The sequence below is a fragment of the Homo sapiens genome, chromosome 5 (assembly GCF_000001405.40).
Source record: "Homo sapiens chromosome 5, GRCh38.p14 Primary Assembly".
NCBI lineage: Eukaryota > Metazoa > Chordata > Mammalia > Primates > Hominidae > Homo > Homo sapiens.
This window is the reverse complement of record NC_000005.10, coordinates 56,733,281-56,757,690: the sequence shown is the minus strand read 5'-3', so window position 1 is coordinate 56,757,690 and position 24,410 is coordinate 56,733,281. Positions and strand designations below refer to the sequence as shown.

The 24,410-nt window shown below is 39.9% G+C and overlaps 2 annotated features.

The window, feature by feature from the left end:
* Positions 478 to 979: an enhancer, noted in NCBI's record as "H3K4me1 hESC enhancer chr5:56052539-56053040 (GRCh37/hg19 assembly coordinates)". NCBI's record gives its function as "activates a minimal SCP1, AML or CMV promoter by ChIP-STARR-seq in primed H9 embryonic stem cells {active_cell/tissue: H9 hESC(primed)}" and the evidence as "EXISTENCE:reporter gene assay evidence [ECO:0000049][PMID:30033119]".
* Positions 21,057 to 21,106: an enhancer, noted in NCBI's record as "active region_22571". NCBI's record gives its function as "activates an Ori minimal core promoter by ATAC-STARR-seq in GM12878 lymphoblastoid cells {active_cell/tissue: GM12878}" and the evidence as "EXISTENCE:reporter gene assay evidence [ECO:0000049][PMID:35858748]".

Sequence of the window (24,410 nt, the reverse complement as noted above, 5' to 3'; positions counted from 1 at the left end):
ACCTCGTGATCCACGCGTCTCGGCCTCCCAAAGTGCTGGGATTACAGGCGTGAGCCACCGCGCCCAGCCAAGGCAGCCAACTTTGAAGTCAGGCTACCACAGATCATTTTTGAAAATGGAATAAAATACAGTTTGGTACAGTTTTAAGCAAACTTGTGAAGTGACTGAATATTTACAAGTCTACAGAAAGACATTTCTGTCAGAAATAAATCTTGCTAAAGCCCCTTGAAGGAAGTGTGAGGGAAGAAAGTAGGCCAATGGAGGCTAGTCTCTTCAATAGGGCTAAATGTCCCCATGTCCCCTGGGAAGGTTTCTGCAGGGGGATGGAGTGCTAAGGAGCGAGAGTTAGTGACTGCTGAATGACTCGTTGTGCCTCAGGCAAACACTGAACTTTCCTGTTCCTTGAGGTTCAGCTCAGGCTGTCCCTGTCCAGTCCAGACCTCCGGGGCCAAACCACAGCCTGGGCAGAGGTGCCAGCCGGGAGGGTGTGGGGAATGCAGGGACAGCCCTGGAGGGAGAAGGGCAAGTCATTGCTGGGAAGTGATTTGAGATAGGGCTGTGAGGGGAAGGAAGAGGGAGGTGCGGGATGAGGTGACCAACTGAACACAGACATCTCCATCTCTGGCTTGAAGACACAACGGATCTACAGCACTTAGCAGTGAGGGGCACGCTTCAGACGGTACTGTTCTTTCTGGGAAGGGCCCAGTGACCCGAAATCTAGCATTCAGCCCCCATAGACACTCCAACGCAAGCTATTGTAAGGTTCTGTATTGCTTCAGGAACAGGAAAGAGGAGGACTACTGCTCACTCTTCATCCACCTCAGATGCTCCCCCACCCCCTCCCCACTGGAAATTCCACTTCCCACCCCACCTTCCCTCACCTGAGGGATCCCTCCATCCTTAGTTGTCCCAAACCTCCACAGAGGCTGAGGAGACAAGATTAGGAGTGAGGTTTTTGAGCTCACTGTTCAGGTTGGGATTCGGGCTTTACCACATTCTCTGAGTGACTTTTGGTTAGTTAGTAAGCTTCTTTGCATGTTGGTTCACTCATCTATAAAAGGGGGACTTAAATATAGTCTCACCTCATTCTGTTGTTGTAAGGATTGAATGAGTTAATTATGTAGAATTTTTTAGAACTCTGTGTGGCCCACAGTAAACACTCACAAAGCATTATTTTAACTTTCTATTACTTAAAAAAAGAGAATTTTTTTTTGGTTTAAATAGACTTTATCTTTTAGAAAGGTCTTAGGATCACAGCAAAATTGAGCAGAAAGTACAGAGATTTCCCATATGCATCCTGCCTGCATACACACATAAGCAGAGCCTTCCCCACCATCGGGATCCTGCACCCGGTAGTACATTTGTTGCAACTGATGAACATACTACAGTGACACATGATTATCACCGAAATCCATAGTTTACCTTACGGTTCACTTTTGGTGTTGTACATTCTATAGGTCTGGACAAATGTATAACGATATGCATCCACAATTCCAGCATCAGACAGAATTGTTTCACTGCCCTAAACATCCTCTTTTGTATTACTTTTAATTACAATTTGCCTTGAATTGTAGATAAGACATTCTTACATATCCTTTATTACTTCTTCTAAGCTAATCAAGCTGGGTTAGTTTATGTGAACTGTACAATATTACTTGTTCCACAGAGCCATGCATGAAACTTGGCAAATGGATAGTGAATTAGTGGTAGAAGAGGTGAGCAAATGAATGAATGAGACCTGTGGGTAGGGGTAAAAGACAAACTCAGGTGAGATTTTTGATTTTGATTTTTTATACTTTTTGAGTATTTTCTATATTTTCTCCAATGAGCATATTATGTTTATAGTCAGAAATAATAAAGATGATTTGTTTTAAACTTTTAAGTTTGGGGTACATGTGAAGGTTTGTTACTTAGGTAATCACGTGTCATGGGGGTTTGTTGTGCAGATTATTTCATTACCCAGGTATTAAGCCTAGTACCCATTAGATCCTCTCCCTCTTCCCATCCTTCACCCTCCAATGGGCCCTAGTGTGTGTTGTTCCCCTCTATGTGTTCATGTGTTCTCATCATTTAGCTCCCACTTACAAGTGAGAGCATGCAGTATTCGGTTTTCTGTTCCTGCATTAGTTTTCTAAGGATAATGGTCTCCAGCTCCATCCATGTCCTGTGTAAATGTACCATGGTGTAAATGTACCACATTTTCTTACATCCATGGTGTAAATGTACCACATTATCTAGTCTAGTACTGATGGGCATTTAGGTTGATCCCATATCTTTACTATTGTGAATAGTGATGCAATGAACATACACAGGCATGTAGAAAAATGCAAATCAAAACCACAATGAGATACCATCTCACACCAGTCAGAATGGCTATTATTAAAAAGTAAAAAAATAACAAATGCTGGTGAGGTTGTGGAGAAAAAGGAACCCCTATACATTCCTGGTGGGAGTGTAAATTAGTTCAACCATTGTTGAAGACAGTGTGGCAATTCCTTGGAGATCTGAAGACAGAAATATCATTCGACTCAGAAATCCCATTGCTGAGTATATGCCCAAAGGAATATAAATCGTTCTATTATAAAGACACATGCACATGCGTATGTGTGTGTGTTTTTAAAAAATACCTTAAACTTGCTTTCTGTTCCTCAGCTCCTTCTTTACCCATTGGTGCTTAGCTCTGGTTCCTCTGTTGCCAGCATACACCATGGAATCTATGCCAGGCAGCGTGGGGTTTGTCAGCTAGTGTTCATGTTGACCACAGTTAAGAGCACAGACTCTGGAGCCAGGTGCTTGGGTTCAAATTTGCGTTCCTCCCCTCCTAGCTGTGTGAACTTGGGCAAGTTAGTTACTTCTCTGTATCTGCCTTTCCTCATCTGTAAAATAGGTATGATGGCACATACCTCATAGGGATTTGTGAGGATTCTCTCAGTTAATACAGGTCAAGTGCTTAGGACAGTGACTGGCACATAATAAATATTTGCAGGTGTTAGCTCTTGTTTCTGTCATATACTGAAGCCTATTAGGACACAAAGAATCAGCCTAGAGAAGTTTCTGTTCTAATAAAGGACTGTTGAGGGCCTATTTAGACCCTGCCTTTTCTACTACCACAGCCACGTGCTGGTCTGAAGAAATATAGATAATTCTGGCAAAACAAGCTGCTTTTTAAATTTTTGTACAAATCTAACTTTCAAGCTCTGCTACCTTTGAACTAAAGCTCTCTTGTAATAAATGCATCAAGAAAATAATTAAAGAGTTAGAGATTTGGTTATAAGCTAAATAGTAACAAGGGAATCTGCTTGCTCCCTGGATCATCCTTTCACCCTTTAATGGCAACAGCAAAATGTAACAAGCAAGACTGGAACGAGAGTTGAGCCCCTGCTGAGAGTATCTGGTTAGAGGTGGTTCAGGTAGGTCTTGTCACTTTCGATCTCAGTTCATCTTGGCATGAGGTATGAGAATGTACATGGCTGGAGGATGTCACTTTCCCAGCCAAGGCATCAATCCCTAGAGTCTTTACCATTAGAAAATGTTCAATATTGTGACTTCTTCCAATGAATGTCAAGCCTAAAGTTAAGCCCAAATCCAAACCTCTTTGATTATTATTTTATTTTTTTATTATTATTATACTTTAAGTTTTAGGGTACATGTGCATAACGTGCAGGTTTGTTACATATGTATACATGTGCCATGTTGGTGTGCTGCACCCATTAACTCGTCACTTAGCATTAGGTATATCTCCTAATGCTATCCCTCCCCCCTCCCCCCACCCCACAACAGTCCCTGGTGTGTGATGTTCCCCTTCCTTTGTCCATGTGTTCTCGTTGTTCAATTCCCACCTATGAGTGAGAACATGTGGTATTTTGTGTTTTGTCCTTGCGATAGTTTGCTGAGAATGGTGGTTTCCAGCTTCATCCATGTCCCTACAAAGGACATGAACTCATCATTTTTTATGGCTGCATAGTATTCCATGGTGTATATGTGCCACATTTTCTTAATCCAGTCTATCACTGTTGGACTTTTGGGTTGGTTCCAAGTCTTTGCTATTGTGAATAGTGCCGCAATAAACATACGTGTGCATGTGTCTTTATAGCAGCATGATTTATGATTATTATTTTCAGTTATTATTATGCTTCTGCTAGCCTGAGGTTTCTTTAATATTCCTATACTGAGGGAGGTTTCATTTGGCCAGCATAAAAATCTCAAAACAATCCTATTTTCAAGAAATGGCTGATGTGTATGCAGATACAGCAGACTTCATTCATCCAACAGATACTATGAGCAGGTGCTAGGCTTCAGGCACTGAGCTAGGTGCTGGGGAGATGGTAATGAACAGGCCAATGAAGCTTCTTTCCTCATGGGGCTTCCTGTCTGGCCAAGGGTCAAAACTGACTTGTGGATCTGTAATGCCCAGTGCCTCAGCACTGAGAGAGGAAACAAAAGCCTCATACCCCTTGTCTTTTCTGTAAAGCGGCAGGATTGTTTCCTGTGATTCCAGGTCAAACCTCAACTAGGAGTATCTAATCAACTCTGTTTCCCCTCCCCTCTTTGCAAAGCCCACTCTCTCTGGATCTTTCTTTGCCGCACTAGCTTTCTGTTCAAAATCTGAGGATAGTACTTTTGAGAATAAGGTTTTCCAGAGAAACAGAGCCAGTAGGAATTATATATGTATATGTGTATGCACACACACGCACACACACACGCACATTAAGTAAAGAATTGGCCCACATGGTTATGGAGGACAAGAAGTCCCAGGATCTGCAGTGGGTAAGCTGGAGACCCAGGAGAGCTGATGGTATAGTTTCAGTCCAAAGCTGAAGGCCTGAGAACCAGGAGAGTTTATAGTATAAATTCCAGTCTAAGTCAGAAGACAGGACAAAACTAATGTCCCAGTTAAAAGTCAGGCAGAGTGAATTCTGTCTTACCTCATCTTTTTGTTCTATTCAGGCCTTCAATGGATTGGATGAGACCCACTCATCCTGGGGAGGGCAATCTGCTTTACTCTGTCTACTGATTTGAATGTTAATCTTATCCAGAAATGCCCTTGCAGACACACCTAGAATAACATTTGACTAAGTATCTGGGCACCTGTCATTCAGTCAGGTTGACACACAATTAGCCATTGCAGTGGAGTTTAGGCCATGTGCCCAAATTCTAGCTGCAAGGGAAGCTGGGAGAAATAAGTATCTGACCATTTAAGCTTATACAATGAAAGATGGGTTCTATATTTTAAGATGAGGGATTCTTCAAACCAGTAAAGAAAGGGTCAGATGCTGGGTTACTAAAGTGAATAATAAATGTTTCTTACAGACTAGAAGCCAGTTTTCCTGGTTCCAAGTCTAGTGCTTTCTTCATTACATTGCAGTTGCCACATTATTGGAAAATTTTTTTTTGTTTACTTTCAGAAAACAGGCTGATGGGGTGAGAGAGCACTGAGAATTCCATTCTTCAGTGTGTATTTAATTATTTCTACACTGGAGCAAATGCCGTGAACTGATTTTTTTTTTTTCATGGGAATTCAAGCCCCACTCTTTGGCAGGGAGTCCTAACTATTTTTGGAAGTTGGAAAAAAATTCAGAGAATCTGGTTCACTTTTGGTCATGTACAGTAATGTTATTTTTGTGTATCTAGGACAGTGACATGGTCAATGCTTATTTTTAATTGGCTTTCTGGGGACACAAGGTCAGGAACAAGGCAGAAGAGTCACTCACAATTGATTAGGATCCTGTCCTGTTGGTCTGTATTCACTGGCAGGAGCCCTCTTCTCCCTGAGTGCCGAAGTGGCTTCTCCTCAGAGCCTGCCAGGCCTCTTTCTGGTCTTATTATTGTCTTTTGATTATAGCTAGAGTGTTCTATAAGGGTTGGTGGAAAGTGCTTTAGTGCAAGAATCAGGACACTAGCATTTGAGTTGTAGCTCTGATACTTAATCAGACTGTAGAGCAAGTTATTTACTCACTCAGAGTCCTAGTTTCTGTATCTGTGAAACACAGATACTGGATTAGATAATCCCTAATATAGCAGCTTTTGGCTGCAAATCAGAATACCCATATAAAAATGTCTTTAAAAGTAAGGGATGTTATATAAAAATAAAAAACTCTGGACTCAGGGTTGTTTGAGGGATTAGTTCAACAGCTCAATGATGTAACAAAGGACACGGACCCTTTTGTCTTACTGTGTTGTATCATGTTCCTGATGTCTCTCTTTATGGTTGCTGGTGGCTACCATAGTTCTAGCACCAAGAATAGACAATGTGACATCAAAAAGATCACAGAAGATGAGGGGTTGCTTTCTTGTGAATCTTTTTATTGGGGAGGAAACCTTCCTGGGAAAGGCAGACTTCTCCTTAGGTCCCATGCCATAGTCCCAGAGGAAGGCGGGAAAACAATGATCAGGCATTTGAAGGCTCCACTGTGTGCATCAAACTCTACCAGTGAGAATAAAGACCTGCAAAGTCTTTCCCATGTCCAACATGCTATGATTCTATGGTTCCTTGATGGTCTTCATCAGTGAATATAAAGATCAGACTTTGGCACTGGTACTTGAGTGTTGAGTCTTACATGACTTTGGAAAGATAAAGAACAGTGGCTTCCTCCTATGAAAAGTACATGGAGTGGATATTGATGGTATACTTCATAACATTTTTCACGGGGAGATAATGAGTAGCCTGCTAGTGAGGGTAATTGCCCTTCTTAAAATAACGTCATGAGATAGACCCAATGTATGCTTCCTATCAAGTTTGTATTTTTACCCAATTTCTTTCTGTATTGCATTCTGGTCATGTGCAATATTGGAAGAATTCCATGTACCCCAATCACAGGTTGGGTTGTCTGGAAGCAGACACTGAGACAGAGGGGTTAACACCTGTAGTACTCTGTAGTGTAATTCTTCTGCTGAGACTTGCCATAAATTCTGCATGGCATCTTTTCCCATTACTGATTGCTATGGTTTAAATATAGCCCTTCCAAAATTTAGGTGTTGAAGCTCAATGGCTTGTGTGATGGTATTAAGAGGTAGGGCCTTTAAGGGATGATTATGTAGGCTGCTCCCTCATGAATGGGATTACAGCCTTTATAAAAAAGACTTCTTTATGTGGTGTTTGGCTATCTTGCCCTTCTACCATGTGAGGAAATGGTATTCCTCCCCTCCAGTGGATGCGGCAACAAGCGCCATCTTGGAAGGAGACAGCAGCCCTCACCAGACAACTGAACCTGCTGGCATCTTGATCTTAGATTCCCAGCCACCAGAACTGTGAGAAAATAAATTTCTGCTCTTTATGAATTACCAAGTCTGTGTTATTCTATTATAGCAGCACAAATGGACTGAGACACTGATACTTTCAACACCATAGTGACTGCCAGATCATATGGCCCAAGTGACAGGGATACTTATACTATAGCCTGAATATGCTGTAGAGTCCTTTTATTTTCTGGACCATGCAAAAGTCTTGTAGCCTTTTCTATCACCCAGTCTATGGGCTGGCAGAGTAACCCTAGATATGGGATATGCTGTCTCTAGAACTTCAAGAGGCTCACCAGGTATTGCGCTCTCTTCTTAATGATGTAGCATGGTCCTTACTTGTGGGGACTCATCACATCTTCAATGAGTGGGTTCTGGATCTGAAAACTGACTCAGGTCCAGAAACTGGGCAAGAAGTGTTCCTCTTTACTCGGGTGAGTGCTCTTAGCCGCTCAGCCATCTGTGAGCTCAGCCATATTTTTTTTTCCTGTAGTGCCCTTCTTGCTATCTATTATTTTTGCCCTTTTGGATGCTGTTTTCTGAGCTAGGCACTCTAGATTCTCACTCAGTCTTGCTGGTTCCTGTATTAATTGTAAGCCTCTGGCTTCTGGCAGTTAAAAGCTACAACCTGGACTTTATGGTTTGGAGTCCTATTATTCCCTTTGCTATCAGTAAGCCCAGTTCTATGATGGTATCTCCTGCCATCAGCCCTGGCCTACAGAGGGGAACCACCACCAAGTATTTTATTCTTCTTGGTAGTACGTTCCTTATGGCTTGAAAAATGGTGTGTCCTCTGGGCTTTGCTATGAACAATTATCTTCTGGTCATATATATAATAGTATATCCATTCAAGCATTCCTACTTCCCTGAGCCTCTTAATCCTTTTGTCCATCATCTATCATGGAAGTGCTGGAATGTTCACTTCACACTTAGTATGCCCAGTGCATTTTCCATACTTTTGGGAGCCATGATAGTAGTCAGTTTGCATGATCTCTTGGGGTCCTCTCCAGAATATTAAATTGCATATCTCAGAAAAACAATTCCAAGTCAACACACTATTTGCTGTGTCCCAGCCTCCTTGATCAAGACTCTGAGAATTCAGTCTCACACATCCTCTCCTGGATCCTGCTGGTCCATGCCAGGTTGGTCTTGGTGCTCTTTTGTGGTATTAGCCTCTTTCCTCCTTCTGAGCTTAGCAACAAAGGGTACTTGGGTGGCAAAACTGTGTGTCTCCCACAGTCCCAGGTGCTTATTATTCTAAATATCAAAGACAGACAATGAAAAAAAAATGGTTGCTGAAATTTGCTAAGAGTCCTGGAGCTTCTACTAAGGGACCTTATCAGTCAGAATGGGTGGGACTCCCGCTCTTTCACTGTCTGGTTCTAACTCTATGTTCCATCAAGTCTCAGCGAGGTGCCTCCTGAGGTCTAGGGCCCATAGAATGATTTGCAAGCTCATATGAAACTGCCTCCCTTTATGGATTCTCAAAATGACTGGAAAGGGGTGCACACTTCAGAGGGAGCAGCCAGACACCCTATGGGAGTATTAAAGGACTGGGAAACTGTAAGAACTTTTGAATATATTAATTTTTATCTTTTTTGTTTTACCATTTTAAGTCTTTATACTTTATAGAAATTCAGTTAAGTATTAAAATGTTTAGAATCAAAGGCATGAATTTGAGTCATAGCATAAATATCTGTTGGTAAATGAATCTCTTTTGGTAAGTTATTTACTCTTCTTGAGCTTGTTTGTTACTAAAATGGGGATAATAATACCTATCCAAATTGTTTGAGAGCAAATAAGACAATGTAACAATATCTTCAACATAATAAGCTTCAACAATGTCATACACATTATAATTATTATTATCTTCCCACCTCTATTTTAGGATTCCATGAGGTGGAGACAGGGCCATATTCATTTTTATATCTCCCACAGTGGTGAGCACAATGTCATGATCATTATAGGCACTGAATAAATGTTGGTTAAGATAATTTAAGATAGCTTTAGTAGTACTTTGATTTCTTTAGTGAAAACACCCTGTACAAATTCAAGACATAATAAGAATTACATGCACTTTAGATCATACTTTTGATTTTTCTATCAATAGTGTTTTGGGAGTTGGCAGAGCAGTGTTGGATTCTTATCAAGTCAACTCTGCTTGCTGAGGACTCTTTGTGAGTCTGTGGAAAGCTTAATGCAAGATGGTAAGCTGGGGCTGGGGATTAGTGGAGTGAAACCAATGAGATGTCAGCCATACATCTGAAATCTTGACCTCATTATCACAATGCTGTGATGAGGTGCTCAACAGTTGTCAATAATTCAAATATACATAATGAGGTAAACACCTGGGCAAGAGATGGAGGGTTCAGTAACAATGATGGCAGTAAGCAATGGCAGAAATATCAGTGTTCCAATAAAACATTTTACCCAATAGAAATGTTCTCTGCACTACAAGAAGCTTCTTAATATCATTTATACCTTTAATTGAATTAGGACTTAAGAACATTGGGGCTTGGGCTATGGTTCCGTCAGAATATATTTAGTACTGTAAATCAGGAGCCAAGAGAAACTCTTCTTACAGAACAAAGACAGGGAAAAGGCAACTGAGGTCACAGACCAATTCAAAATAGCAATTTTTTTCTATAAGTATTAAATTAGAGAACACTTTCTATAATACTCATATAGATTCAACAATCAAATTGAAAGAAATTAAAAGCTCTTCTTCCAAGCATTTATTAAAGGTGGTATCTACAGACCGCTGTGTAGGATAGGATGAGTCAACTAATACTCAATATTTATAAGAAGAACACAGTGCATATTTAGAATATATTCCTGTAACTAAAAGGCACCATGGAAAAGCTTTCCTGGTAAACTTTCACTTATTTTCTTTCTAGTTGCTGACTGATAATTTATTCATCATTCACTGTCACGATCACTCCTTAACTAACATCCCAGATGTTATCAGCAATAAGACTGAAAAAATTAGACTAATTTTTATTTTTGGGGGCTGTAGTGGGAGGTGGTGGTAGATAGGAAGGTAGGATATGAGCCTGGGTCCTCAAATTCCCCAGAATCGCTGGCCTAGGAAAAAACACATTGGGCAGAGAGTATTCAACTTTTACATTCGTCCACTGATTTAAGCCGTCACCTAAACCTTGGGTGCCTCAATTTCTTCATCTATAAAGTGGAATTACTTACAAATGTTAATAATATTACATTACAGATAAAATCATGTAGGGTATGCAGAAGAACTTTTTCACAGAGTCCCTTAAGTATTTTCTATACACAACACAAAAGACTTTGGATGACCCCTACTCCAGCTGTTGCTTCTTGTTACCAAAATAGCAACAAAGATCTCATCAGAATCAATGGAAAGAGAGATGCCACTTCTCAATAATAGGAGTTGTTAAAAATATAAAATAAGTGATTCACACCAAAAATAAAAATTGTAAGGTTGTACTCTGAACATGAATTCTTGGAGCCAAATTATGAGATGTTTATTGGAGATCTGGGAGTCCAATTTTGGGATGGAAAGGGACGAGCTGCTAATTAGTGCCTCTCTTGTAACCTCATGGTCAGTATGGGACTGGGGCATGGAGGTATGTGCTGAAAGGGATCTGGGGGAAAGAGAAAGATGCTGACAAAGAAGTCCTGCCAACTAAGCCACAGAGACAGGGAGGGGCCTTCAGTGGCCTCTGGCATAACAATGTCCTCATTGGAAATACCCAACTCACAGATGCCAACAACCTCTGCTCAAGCTCCCTCTTGCCTCAGGCCACCTAAAATGCCAGATATCAGGCCCTTCTTTCCTCCCAGTGGCTCCTGGCATTTCTAATGCCTGCCAGGTGTAGGGATTGGGCACTGGCTCCGAATCAACTAAGTCAGGTCTGTCATGGAAACTTCCTGGGTCCTTCCAATTATATCTGCCTGAGCTCCTGCTGCAGCTCCCCTCTCCTCACACTGATGGTTAGTATCATCTACCATGTGATGACATACAGGAGGAACAATACAATTTTTCAAGTGAAAATGGCATTTCAACACATAACATTTGATCCTTAGTCAAGAGTCTTCCTCCTTGTAGGCCATCTGCTCAGCTACCACATACTACAGAATTACAGAGCTACTGTCTCAAAAAGAACTCATTTTAGATTCGATCAGTTTTATGTGAACTATAATCTGTTCCAATGGTTCTCAAAGTGTGACCCACTAACCCCCGGGCATCTCTGAATCTCTGAGACCACTTCCAGGAGTCTACAGCATGAAAAACCACGTTTCTAATAAAAGACTCAACTCACCTTTTTAACTGTATAGTCATTTCCACTACTGGTACAAAAGCAATGATGGGTACGGCTGCTAATGCTTTCATGCAAATCAAGGCGGGGCGCCAAACTGTACTAGTTATCATTGTATTTTTCACCACCACACAGTTAGTGCAATTTTTAAATATTCTGTGCAATGATATGGGAAGTCCGCTTCATGAAGCACTTCTGCTGTCAATCAAAGTATATTGTCTTAAAAAAAGAATGTAAGCAAATTGTTTGAGTTAGAACTTTATTTTTGGAACAGCACTTTTATTTGAAGGAATAACTGACAAACCATAGATGTTCAAATTTGGGTATTGGCAGACATTTTCTCCAAAATGAACAAAGGAAGTGAACAATGTCACTTTGGGAAAAACAACTCACAGTGTTTTTATCAGTGTTAAAATCTAAGATTTCAAGCAAAAATTAGAATTTTAAAAACCTCGCATCCATCACCATGAGTTTGACACCTTCCCAATATTTAAAGATTTTTCTGAGATTAATGTTATATTAACAAATATGAATTTTATATGGTAGCATTATTTTTATATATCAACAAATGTAACCTTTTGTTATTGTTAAATTAATGTATCAACATTTGGAAGATTTTCATAACTAGCGAACTAAACACTTTCCAAATGACAGTGTATAGCATTACATGGACAACACGGGTAAAAGATTCGTTAGAAGTGCATAAGACTGATGGATTTTAATGGGACTATAAAAAGTTCATCAATACAATTTTAAATTACACATTGCAGCTAATCTTAAGGAAACTACTATCTATTGAGTTTTGCTATAGTATCAAAAAAGCTCACTTTTCTGTACCTTTAGGAAGCCTCTGGTCATCTTTCTCAAGTTAAATATATGTTTAGTGCCTTCAGGTCCTGATGGAAATTTGCTATGCAAATGCGGAGGTACAAGATAGCAATTTGGCCTTTGGCAAGCAAATTATGTCTGAATTACATTTTATTGAGAAATGTCTTTTTGAAATAGAGACATTGTCAGTAAAAGTTGTAATTTAAGACGGCAAATGGGATTGAAATACATTGGGCTTTCTGTTTCCTGACTCAATATGGTCAATATCTTTCAGCCTTTTCCTCCTTTGACCCACCCACAGTATGAGCTCTCCCAGCATTGCCACAGCAAATGGATAGATGAGTCTTGAGTCCATGTGAAAATAGCTCCTTTTGGGCTGTTAATATTTTGTACATACATAGAGCCTTTTTACTCATTAATGAAGTATCAGGCCTAGGAAGAGCCTAATTTTCATTGAGGGATGTAAGTAATTTGGAAGGGAATTCAACTGCCTTAGAAATAAAAAATGTGCTGATATTATTCAAGCCCCAGCTTTTTATAATCAAGCCTGCATTCCACTGAGCTATTCTTCAAAAAGAAACCTCAGCATACCCCTAGATTGTAGTCCTCCTGATATAAACTCCCCTAAGTAGCTAAAATGAACTGAAGGATTCAATAGAAGCATTAGTGTTCTTCCACTTGAATATTGCAGATTCTCTGCCAAATATGAAGTTTTTTTTTCTTGACAGTAATTAGCTAGCTGGCTCATATGTTTCTAATGACTACTCCTAGTGAGAGTGAATAAAGACATATTATAGAGGAGGATGCTTGCTAAGAAAGGGACATGCTTCCTCATTTACTGTAGCTCTATCAAGCAGTTAAGAACAGCCCTGTTTGACCCCATTTATGACTGGAATTAGCAATTATAATTAAAATTAGCAATTGAGTATCATGGCAAAGAACAGGGCTCTAGAGTCAGAAACTGCCACTTCGTGGCTTTGGATGTGTTTAATTTTCTGAGTCTTCATTTTTTTTTTTTTACTGTGAGTTGGAGATGATAATACCACTTATCTCACAGGGCTGTTGTAAGGATTCTATGAGATAATCCATTTAAAATGTGTAGAACAGGGCTTGGCACAGAGTTAGGGCACCATAGGTTTAGCTATATGTATTATTATAACTATGATTCTGTTTGGAAAAACAGGGTACAGATTCTAAAGAACCATTAACCTGGGACATATGTCAAAGTATTCTTTTTATTATTATGATTATTATTATACTTTAAGTTCTGGGATACATGTGCAGACGTGCAAGTTTGTTACTTACATAGGTATACATGTGCCATGGTGGTTTGCTGGACCCACCAACCCATCATCTACATTAGATATTTCTCCTAATGCTATCTGTCCCCTAGGCCCCTACCCATGGACAGACCCCGGTGTGTGATGTTCCCCTCCCTGTGTCCATGTGTTCTCATCGTTCAACTCCCACTTATGAGTGAGAACATGCGGTGTTTGGTTTTCTGTTTCTGTGTTAGTTTGCTGAGAATGATGGTTTCCAGCTTCATCCATGTCCCTGCAAAGGACATGAACTCATCCTTTTTTACAGCTGCATAGTATTCTGTGGTGTATAAGTGTCACATTTTCTTTATCGAGTCTATCGTTGATGGGCATTTGGGTTGGCTCCAAGTCTTTGCTGTTGTGAACAGTGCTGCAATAAACATACGTGGGCATACGTCTTTATAGTAGCATGATTTATAATCCTTTGGGTATATATCCAGTAATGGGATTGTTGGGTCAAATGGTATTTCTGGTTCTAGATCCTTGAGGAATCGCCACACTGTCTTCCACAATAGTTGAACTAATTTACACTCCCACAAACAGTGTAAAAGCGTTCCTATTTCTCTACATCCTTTCCAGCATTCTGTTGTTCCTGACTTTTTAATGATCACCATTTGAACTGGCATGAGATGGTATCTCATTGTAGTTTTGATTTGCATGTGTCTAATGACCAGTGATGTTGAGCTTTTTTTCATATAAAATTTTCAGTTTGGATTAAAGGCAATTCGTGCCTCTGAAATCACAAGCTGATGAAAGATTAATGAATGTTACAAATAGCCTTATGCTGTTTAAAACTTTGGTGGATGTTGGAGTAAAACAAGTTCAGCAGTGGAATAACTGTGGCAGAAATCCGCTTACTCTTAATCAACTATAGTCATTTGGAGAACCCTACCATTCAATTCTGAAGAGAGGTCTGGTGGTCTGGTAGTTAACTGGGGGATACAAAAGATTTCTCCTTTTTTGGCAATTAGTTGAGTCATGTTTAGGCCAATTATATGAACATTAGCATCCTGAAAACTTCAATTCAGAGAACTAGATTGGCACTTTGGGAGCCCATCAGACAGAACAGATTCTAAACAATTCTGACAAGAAATCTTCTCCCAGGAGCTTTTTCAATTTTAAGCAATTAATCAGTCACATTTTAGTAGGTGAAATTATTAGCTCCCGACCTTGGATTATTCTAGAATTAAGGAGAGTGAGGAGAGAGAGAGAGAGAGAAAGAAAAAGAAGAAAAGAAGAAGTTGAAGATGAAGAAGAAGAAGGAGAAGAAGAAGAAGGGGGGAGGGGAAGGGAGGGGAGGGGAGATCTTGTTCAAGGACCGTATCACTAATTAAGTAAAGTTAACTTTTCATCAGTGGAAATTTGTGCTATGGCAATTCCTATTTCAAAATTCATTTGGGGGAGTGGAATTAGTATGTCCCAAACTGCGTTTATTATGGATTCTGACAGCTGAATCCAAAGTTTCCATTAGGATTTTTAAAAGAGATGCAGTCATTATGAAATATTTTTAACAATGATTAGGGTTTAATTGTTTGTAATTTTGCCTTGTAGTCTTTATCAAACAAGTTATAAAATGATAGATTTTTCATTGAAGGGTAATCAAGGCTGGTTTCAGCCCTTTATCATCCAGTGGTACATAACTGAGAAGAAATTTCAGATGAAAAATGATATATGTGGATCTTTAGCTCCTCGATACTCACAATGCATCTATGAGCCAGTAGCATCTGCATCACCTAGGTGTCAGAGAACCTCAGGCCCCTCCCCAGACCAACGAAATTTCATTTTAACAAGATGTGAGAAGCGCTGTTTTAGGCCTCAAGAAATGAATCTTTTCATTAAAGAGACAACCTTCAGCCTTCGGTACCTTATCCCATGTTCTTACCTGACAGAGAAGGTCTGATGATTTTAAGAAAAACTTTTCTTCAAAACTTCTAACAATTAATAAAGAGTGTGCGGAGACGCGTCAAATACATAGAAAAGTATAGAACTAATAAACCATCAGTAAACCTACTACTGAATTTAAAGACATTTTAATTTTAACATTTTACCGTATTTGATTATCTTTCCCTTCCCTGATTGAAAAAAATATTTTTATTGCAAAAACATACATAACAAAAATTACCATTTTAAGTCTCTTTGAGTATACAACAGTACTATCAAGTACATTGAGATTGTTGTACAACATCATCACTATTTTTTTTTTTTTTTTTTTGAAATGGAGTCTCACTCTGTCACCCAGGCTGGAGTGCAATGGTTGGATCTTGGCTTATTGCAACCTCTGCCTCCTGAATTCAAGGGATTCTCCTGTCTCAGCCTCCCTAGTAGCTGGAATTCCAGGCGCCTGCCACCATGCCCGGCTAATTTTTATATTTTTAGTAGAGATGGGATTTCACCATGTTGGCTAGGCTGGTCTCGAACTCCTGACCTCAAATGATCCACCCACCTCGGCCTCCCAAAGTTCTAGGATTACAGGCATGAGCCACCATGCCTGGCCACCACTATTTATTTCCACAATTTTTTAAATCATCCCAGACTGAAACTCTGTAGCTGTTAGACAATTGCTTTTCATCCTCCTTGCAGCAACCCTTGGTAAACACTATTTTACTTTCTTGATAAATTTGGCTGTTCTAGGTACCCCATATAAGTGGAATCATACAATATTTGTTCTTTTGTGTCTCAGTTATTTCACTTAGCATAATGCTTTCAAGGTTTATCTATAATATGGCATGCATCAAAATATTTCCTTCCTTTTAAAGACTGAATAAAATTCTAAAGCATGCATGCATATACCACATTTTGTTTATCCATTCATCCATTGATAGGCATTTGTGTTGTCTTCACACTTTGGCTGTCGTCAATAATGTTGTTATGAATGCTGGTGTACAAATATCTGTTCGAGTCCTTGATTTCAATTTTTGGGTATAAACCTAGAAATGGAATTGCACAATCATACAGCAATTATATGCGTAACTTTTTGAGGAACCATCATACTGTCTTCCATAGTGGGGCACCATTTTACATTCCTACCAGCAATTCACAAGGTCTCTAATTTTTCTACATTGTCACCAACATTTGTTTTCTTCTCTCTCTCTATCTTGTTCTTTCTCTCTCAGAACCTAGCGGGTGTGAAATGGTATCTGATTTGTATTTCCTGAATTATCAGTGATGTTGAGCATCTTTTTCTGTGCTTCTTGCTGATATGTATATCTTCTTTGGAGGATATGTATTCAAGTCGTTTGCCCTGTTCTAAATTATGGAGTTATTTTGGTTTGTTTGTTTGTTTGTTTGTTTGTTTGTTTATTGCTGTTGAGCTGTAGTAGTTCTTTATATATTCTGGATAGTAATCCTTTATCAGATATATGATTTACAAATATTCTCCACTTCTGAGGGGTGTTGTTTTTTTTTAATACGCTGCTTCACGTTGATTCACAGTATTTAAATCCATTTCTAAAATGAGGGGCAGTTAGGTTGTCTACTTAAGAAGTTAATTGTTTCTAAGGTTTAAAAAATAAACAGCATGGCCACAAACATTTTTGTGCATGTCTCTCTCTCACACACACATTTTTCTAGGGTAGAAAACTAGAAGTGGAATTGCTGGTGTCATAGAGCAGATTGGAAAATGATAATGTTTAACAGTGTAACCTAAACATGACTGAGGTGTATAAGCAGCAAAGAGCTTATTATTGGAACTATCACTAGTTACTTGGTTACACTATATGTCTCATTTCCACTAGATAAATTCTAAGGGCTACTGTTTTTATTGTAAAAAAATATTGTGATGATGAATGAGTTTGACTGTCTAGTGTCGTCATTTGATCACATGGCTGAATTTCTAGGAAACAGGCCTTCTAATGGATCATTGCCAGCTTTAGCCTTAAAACATTCTCAAATTGTTTTGTCAGTGAAACTATTACATTCTGGAGCCAAATTGGTTCCAGGCACCTGCAATGACAAATAGAAAGGTATTTTTAATTTTTAAAAATAGTTTTTCATTTTTAATTGGGAATCTGAATTAGGATTGAGAGAGATAGGTTGTTAGAGAAGCAGATATCCCAGAGGCTGTTATTAACTGAAATCAGTTAATGTCTTATTTCTCCAAAAACATATGTGGCAGAGCACTGCATGAAGAAGGACCTTATTCTTAGCCTCTAACACCCAAGTTATTGATCTAGAAGGGGAGCCAACACACTAGGCTGTCCTTTCACCTAGATGCTGGTGCTCAAACAAATAAGAACTGATCAACTATAGACGCACCTTTAGAACTGGCCTAGACCGTAAGTAGTCTGCAAGATCTGCTTTAAACTTAAGTGTTTTCACGTTAAAATGAACATCACACTTTCTAACATTCCTAAATCAGCCAAAGACAACCAAAATAAAACCACAAAAAACCTGTTCTATTTAAAACATAATTTTTAGGGAACACTTATACACTGTTGATGAGAATGTAAATTAGCTCCACTCCTATGGAAAATAGTATGGAGATTTCTGAAAGAACTGAAAATAGAACTGAATAGTAATTCAACTCAGCAATCCCATTACTAGGTACCTAGCCAAAGGAAAAGAAATCATTTCATCAAAAAGACACCTGCACTGTTATGTTTATCAAAGCACTATTCAAAATATCAAAGGCTTGGAATCAATGTAAGTGTTCACCAGTGGTGGATTGGATTTAAAAAATGTGGTACATAGACCAAGCGTGGTGGCTCATGCCTGTAATCCCAGTACTTCAGGAGGCTGAGGCAGACAGATCACTGAGGTCAGGAGTTTGAGACCAGCCTGCCCAACATGGTAAAACCCCGTCTCTTCTAAAATACAAAAATTAGCCAGGCATGGTGGTGGGCACCTATAATCCCAGCTACTCAGGAGGCTGAGGCAGGAAAATTGCTTGAACCCAGGAGGCTGAGGTTGCAGTAGCCGAGATCGTGCCACTGCACTCCAGCCTGGGTGACAGAGCAAGACTCGCTCTCAAAAAGAAAAAAAAGAGAAAAAAATGTGGTATATATACACCATGGAATACTATGCAGCCATAAAAAGAATGAAATCATGTCCTTTGCAGCAACATAGGTACAACTGGAGGACATTATCCTAAGTGAATTAATGCAGAAATAGAAAACCAAGTACTATGTGTTCTCACTAATAAGTGGGAGCTAAACAATGGGTGCACATGGACATAAAGAGGTAAACAATAGACACTGGGGACTCCAAAAGGGGAGAGGGAGGAAGGGGAGAAGGGCTGGAAAAACTACCTATTTGGTACTAGGTTTACTACTTGGGTTCACCAGAACCCAACCCCAGAACTATGCAATACACCTATGTAACAAACCTGTACATGGAACCCCCGAATCTATAATTTAAATAAAATATGATTTTTGATAATATTGGTATTGGCTTTTATAATTCCATGGACTTGATCAAATTTTTAAGATGACTGTTATGCTCTGGGTCAATTGCAACAGAGAGTATAGTTTTATAGAACAAAATCTTTAGAGTGGTAAACTAGATATTCAAAATCTAAGTCATTGAGGTTGTCAGAATAGGTCATTGCTCACCCTCCCACCAGTCAGGTTGAATACTTGTCATCCCAGAAGTAGACAAACCTGTCTTTGATGCAAAAGGCTCTGAGTAGACGTCTTAGTTTAAACCAGAGGGCTGTTATATTAGCAAGATCACTGATTTGAGCCAGAAGGCCTGGGATGAAGTTCTCATTCTATCACTCACTGCTTGGATAGTCTCAGACGAGTCTCTGAGCTTGTCTAAATTCTCAATTTCCTCATCTACCATAGGATGATGACAAAACCATAGTTACTTCAAAGGGCTGTTCTGAGAATTTAATGAAACGGTCCATATCACAGTTGTTGAGGAACTGTAAAATCTGTAAATTGTCACGTAAACAGTGATGGAATGAAGGCCCACACCCTGAGCAAGAGCGTGGTTAATAATGACAGCCACTGGCAGAGCCGGTGCAGGGACATTTAGTTAAAACAAAACTAAACAAACAAAAAACCCCAATAAACTTCAGACAGAGTACTCAGTGGGGTTTTCTATTCAGCCATTACCAGAGAACTTCCAATTTAATATGCAATAAAAGGTGCTTAACACGCAATTAATATTTCATCACCTTTAGTTTTGCCAGGGGAAGTTTTGACCCCAAATAGTTTTAATATTTGCATGCCACAAATTTAATATATATGTATTGTTTGCATATCAATTTTGCCAACTGTGATATAAATCATGGCCCTAACCTGAATAGATTGGTAAGGGTTTATAGTACAACGGAAGCTATGACCTTGGAAGAACAACCTGTCTCAATGATGGGGGTTATTTATTATCTTTTTTCTTTTGGCTTAAGTTTGTTTCAGTAAAACATTCAAGAATTTTGAGATAAAAGCAGTTAAGAATCCCCAACTGTTCATCATATGAAGCTCAGATGTTCTTGTGTCTTAGTTAAGAGCTACGCTCAGCTTATGAGTCAGAGCAGTTTGTATCTAAGCACAGATCTTCATCCTGACAAATAAACATAAATTGTATTAATCCTGGAAGTTATTCATTAGATATTGATATGATTAACACAAAGTTCCTTTGAAATGAACATTACATTCATCCTACGAAATATGACAAAGATAAACTGCTCAGCGGGATAGCTACTTTGGAGAAACCAATTTTGCCAACCATTCTTCCCCGCCCCTCACCCACCAGCAAAGCTCTATGATTCAAACAGGATTTCCTGTATGCTACCAGAAGCATCCATGACTTTTTTTTTTTCCTTCCAGTACTTCTAAAGTTCCCCATTTTGGCCTTTCAATCTCTTACCCACATTTTTTCCTGGGCCCCCATGTATGGTATCATGCAAGCTGTGCCTTCTGGAAGATTACCTGGCTGAAGGGAAGAGCACAGGCTGACATCTAGCCATGCACTCTTGCATGGGTTTGTGTGTGCTCAGAGGAAGTGGTGCCTTTTTCTAACTTGTACGAAGGTGCTGTATGGGCTGGAAGAGGCCCTGCCCTGTCTTCCTCAATGTCTTTCTTATTCCTTTATCCTTCACCTCCACTTTTCCATTATTTGGACTTCAAATCGCCTCATCACCACCCATCAACTGGTCCCCTTCCTGTAACCCTTCTTGCCCTCTGCCCCTCTCTAGCCACCCCATGGGCCATTCCAAAGGTCTCTCACCCTTGTGTTTCCAAAGAACCTCTCCTAACTTGAATATCTTTTATAGGACATATCCAAATGCATGTTTTTATAGTGTCATTTAAGGCACATGAGATAAAATAAACTTTATTGGTTTGTTGCAGTTTCCTGAGTATTGAAAAAAGGATGAAGACTAGGTTGGGTTGAAACAAAATTATTAAAAGCAAAACAAGAAATGAATGTTTGCTCAGCTGATCATTTCCTATTGAGGGTTCTCTGTGCAATGTGGTCTATGAAGAGTTCACTGTTCAGCTTTAAACAGATTGAAATGATCCGTGGGGGGAAATAACACTAAACCCAAGGACTGTGTGGAAGCGATGCTCAATGCCGGCCCCCAGGCTGCTGTGGAAAGGCCGGCTGTGCAGGCGTACGTGTTCAAGTTGAAGGAAGCCTTTGAAAGCTATCTTTTAAACAGAATGAATGTGAAAAGCTACTGGGGAGGAAGAAAAAGGCAGCACAGAACTGCCACTTGAGCGTTGCTTCCTGTCCATGTGGCTCTAGCTCTTTGCTGACAGTTATTCTTAGGCCTTCTTTGGCTTCAAAGATTTCCTCTTTTCTATTTTTGGTAGCAGAATATGGATTTAGATCTGCATAACCCCTCTTGACTACTAATCTGTGCCCTGAAGTGAGTAGGGCTGTTGTTTTCTGTAGCTATCAGTTCTCTTTCTTTTCAGCACCTCCAAATGATTTTTAATATTAAGGACACAGATTTATGGGAAGGAGTCGTTGAGTTTTCAAACTGATTTGTAGTCTCTTAATTTGCACATGCCTTTCTCCAGCAGGGGCATCTCAGAGATCATCTCAAGTAATGGGGCCTGACTTGTGTGATGAGTGAAAGAATCCAGGTTGGTAAAACAGATGGCCATCGAATGACCAAAAAGTAAGCAAGGAAGATTTGCATTGGAGTGACATGTAATTGATTAAGCACAATTCTATTTTGGAAAGAAATAATTGATGCCTGTGTCCTCCAAAATTAGCTTAATCTATACAAACTGCACCACAAAGCTACAAGCCACCCCAGACTGGAATGCTAAGGACCCAGGCCCTAGCAGAGGAAAACACACTGCCCAAAGCGAAGCGTTTGTAGGGTGTTTCATTTCGTGCCCTCTAATTCTATGTTTTAAATCACTTCTGTTTTTTCTGATCTCATGGCCTGACTTTACTGGACCATTAGTAACAATAACCTTTCACAGATTCTTTTTCATCCAGGTACCTTAATTTTTTTTTTTTTAAAGAAATACTAAACCCTTGAGTCCTCTCATAAAAAATATGGGGCCGCCTACTTGGCTGACTGCAGAACCAGGGATCAGGAATGCTGCCCACCCAGCTCAGCTGCCTTTGCCACGTGGTCTTAATCAGGGTCTCCCTCTGTGGCTTTAAAAGGGTGACAATCTTATTCTTGAGAAGGATTACTGTGGGAATGTATAAACTGAAGCATCAAGGCTTGTCCCATCTTCCCAAGACCACTCAGCCAATTTCTGTCTGCCATAGCATCTGGTTTGACCTTCACAATCCTCTACAAACCATGAGCCCATACTCCATGAATATTCCATGTGTGCCATATTTTATTTTATTTTTATTTTGCAACGAACAAAATGAACAGAAGCATATTGGGAGAGGAACTTTGAGGATTAATCTAGGCACTTTGCAAATGGATGATTGGCAAGAAGAAACTCAAACTAGGTCATATATTGGGTTTCCAACACTGGAAGGTATCTTTTAATATATTTTACATAACGGTTTTAAGCAGCAGGCTGCATTATCTGTTCAGTGTTGACAGTGAGCTAAAAAGCTGCATAATCGAGTGCAAAAGAAAGCCCCCCTAAGTCTTCTCCAGAGCATTTTGACCCTGCTGAATTTTTCAGAGGTTGTTTTAAATGTGTCCCAATGTCAGACTTGTTCAGAAAGAGAGCATTGTATCTCCCAAGAGAATGATAATTTGCTCTTTCTTTTTAAAGTGGAGCAAAATGCTAACTTTTAATAGACGATCTAGACTTTTCTGCACTGAAAAAGTCCTCCTTCAGAATTCCTATGCAAATATTCAAACTCCCGGGTTGGGAAAAGGTTAAAAGGAACTGAAAAAGTCTATAGTGGCTCTTTCTGAGATGCACTCCAACACTTGGCAGGATGAGGTGTTCATAGCAGGTGCTGGATTTGCTATAAATGGACAATTTATAAACAGAGCTGACAACTGGGAAAACAGAGCAGTGGGGAATGCTGGCATTCCAGGGGCCAGTGGTTGATTTCCTATCAGATGGTCCTCAGCATGGAATTATTGATAGCTGCTGCTCTGAAAGAAAGCCAGTTGGCTGACGCATAAAAGGGCTGTACCTCAATTCATGCATGATCTGCTGCTAGATATTTTAAATAGGTCAGTGCAAATTAGCTTCTTCAGGTTGGTACTTCCTTAATTAGCAATTTAATTGCAAAGTCTTTTCCTCCCTCCTCAACCTTGACTGAATTTAACACTCTTCCCTCCATGTAATGCCAGAGGAATGGGACCTGGGAGAAATCTAGCTTAATAAATAAATGAGGACCTTGAGGGAGTGGGGGAGGAATCAGAGCAGCCTTCAGTGACTAAAGCCAATACAGAACCTGGCTAAGACAAGTCATGTGTGAGCAAGGGCAGCATTTTTGGCCGTGTCCTGGGGCAGAAAGGAGCAGGGCCTTTGTGCATGGAGCCCAGGGGGAGAAACAGAAATGTGTGGCAAAGGCATCTCATTTCTCTTTTGCCGTTTGTCAGGAGCTGCCAGTACACTAAGACATTCCTGAGGTCCCTTCAGGAAGGTTCTGCTTTCAAAGTATTCCCATGGGTGCACTCTAATGATCACATTCAAAGTTCCCATGGGTGCACTCTAATGATCACATTCAAAGTTTCCATCGTTTTTATTTATTTTTGGACAAGTTTTTCCCCTATAGAGATGTTTGATGGTGGTCCCTGGATAGACGGCATTGGATAGCATTCCAATGTCTCTATCAACAGCCTTGAATCAGTGCAGAGTTCTGCCCAGAGCTAGTGGAGTGACCATACCTGTTTGTTCTAGCTGCATGAGTGGTTTTTCCAGGAGACATTTGTTTGGCTGGGACTCTATTTTTCTCCTGACCACACCCTATTGTTTTTCTCTTCAGAGGAACAGACTGAAGACCAGACTGATTCTGGAAGGACCTTTGACTTCCTTACAGGGAGTGAAAATTGCACGGGTCTGAAGACTAGGGTGTTGAATTAGGTGCACGTTCAGCACAAGGGATGGTCTAGGCATGAGGGCTGTTGGAGGCAAAAACACAGGGCTTTGAGGGAATCCAGAGCAGGGACTTCCGGGTGCCACATAAGGGCAAAACCCACCCAGAGTAGAGAGGGACCTAAGGCATTGAGGGGGTGGGGACTTTTTGGTGGGAAGTCATGTCTGTAAGTGCAAACTCCTAAGGACCTCTCTTTCCTATGGGAATCTCAGGTTCATTAGTTGTGGTGAGCTCTTTGATAAATATGTGACAAATCTTACTGAGCATCTATTATTTGCAAAGAACTACACTAGGTAGAGGAGAT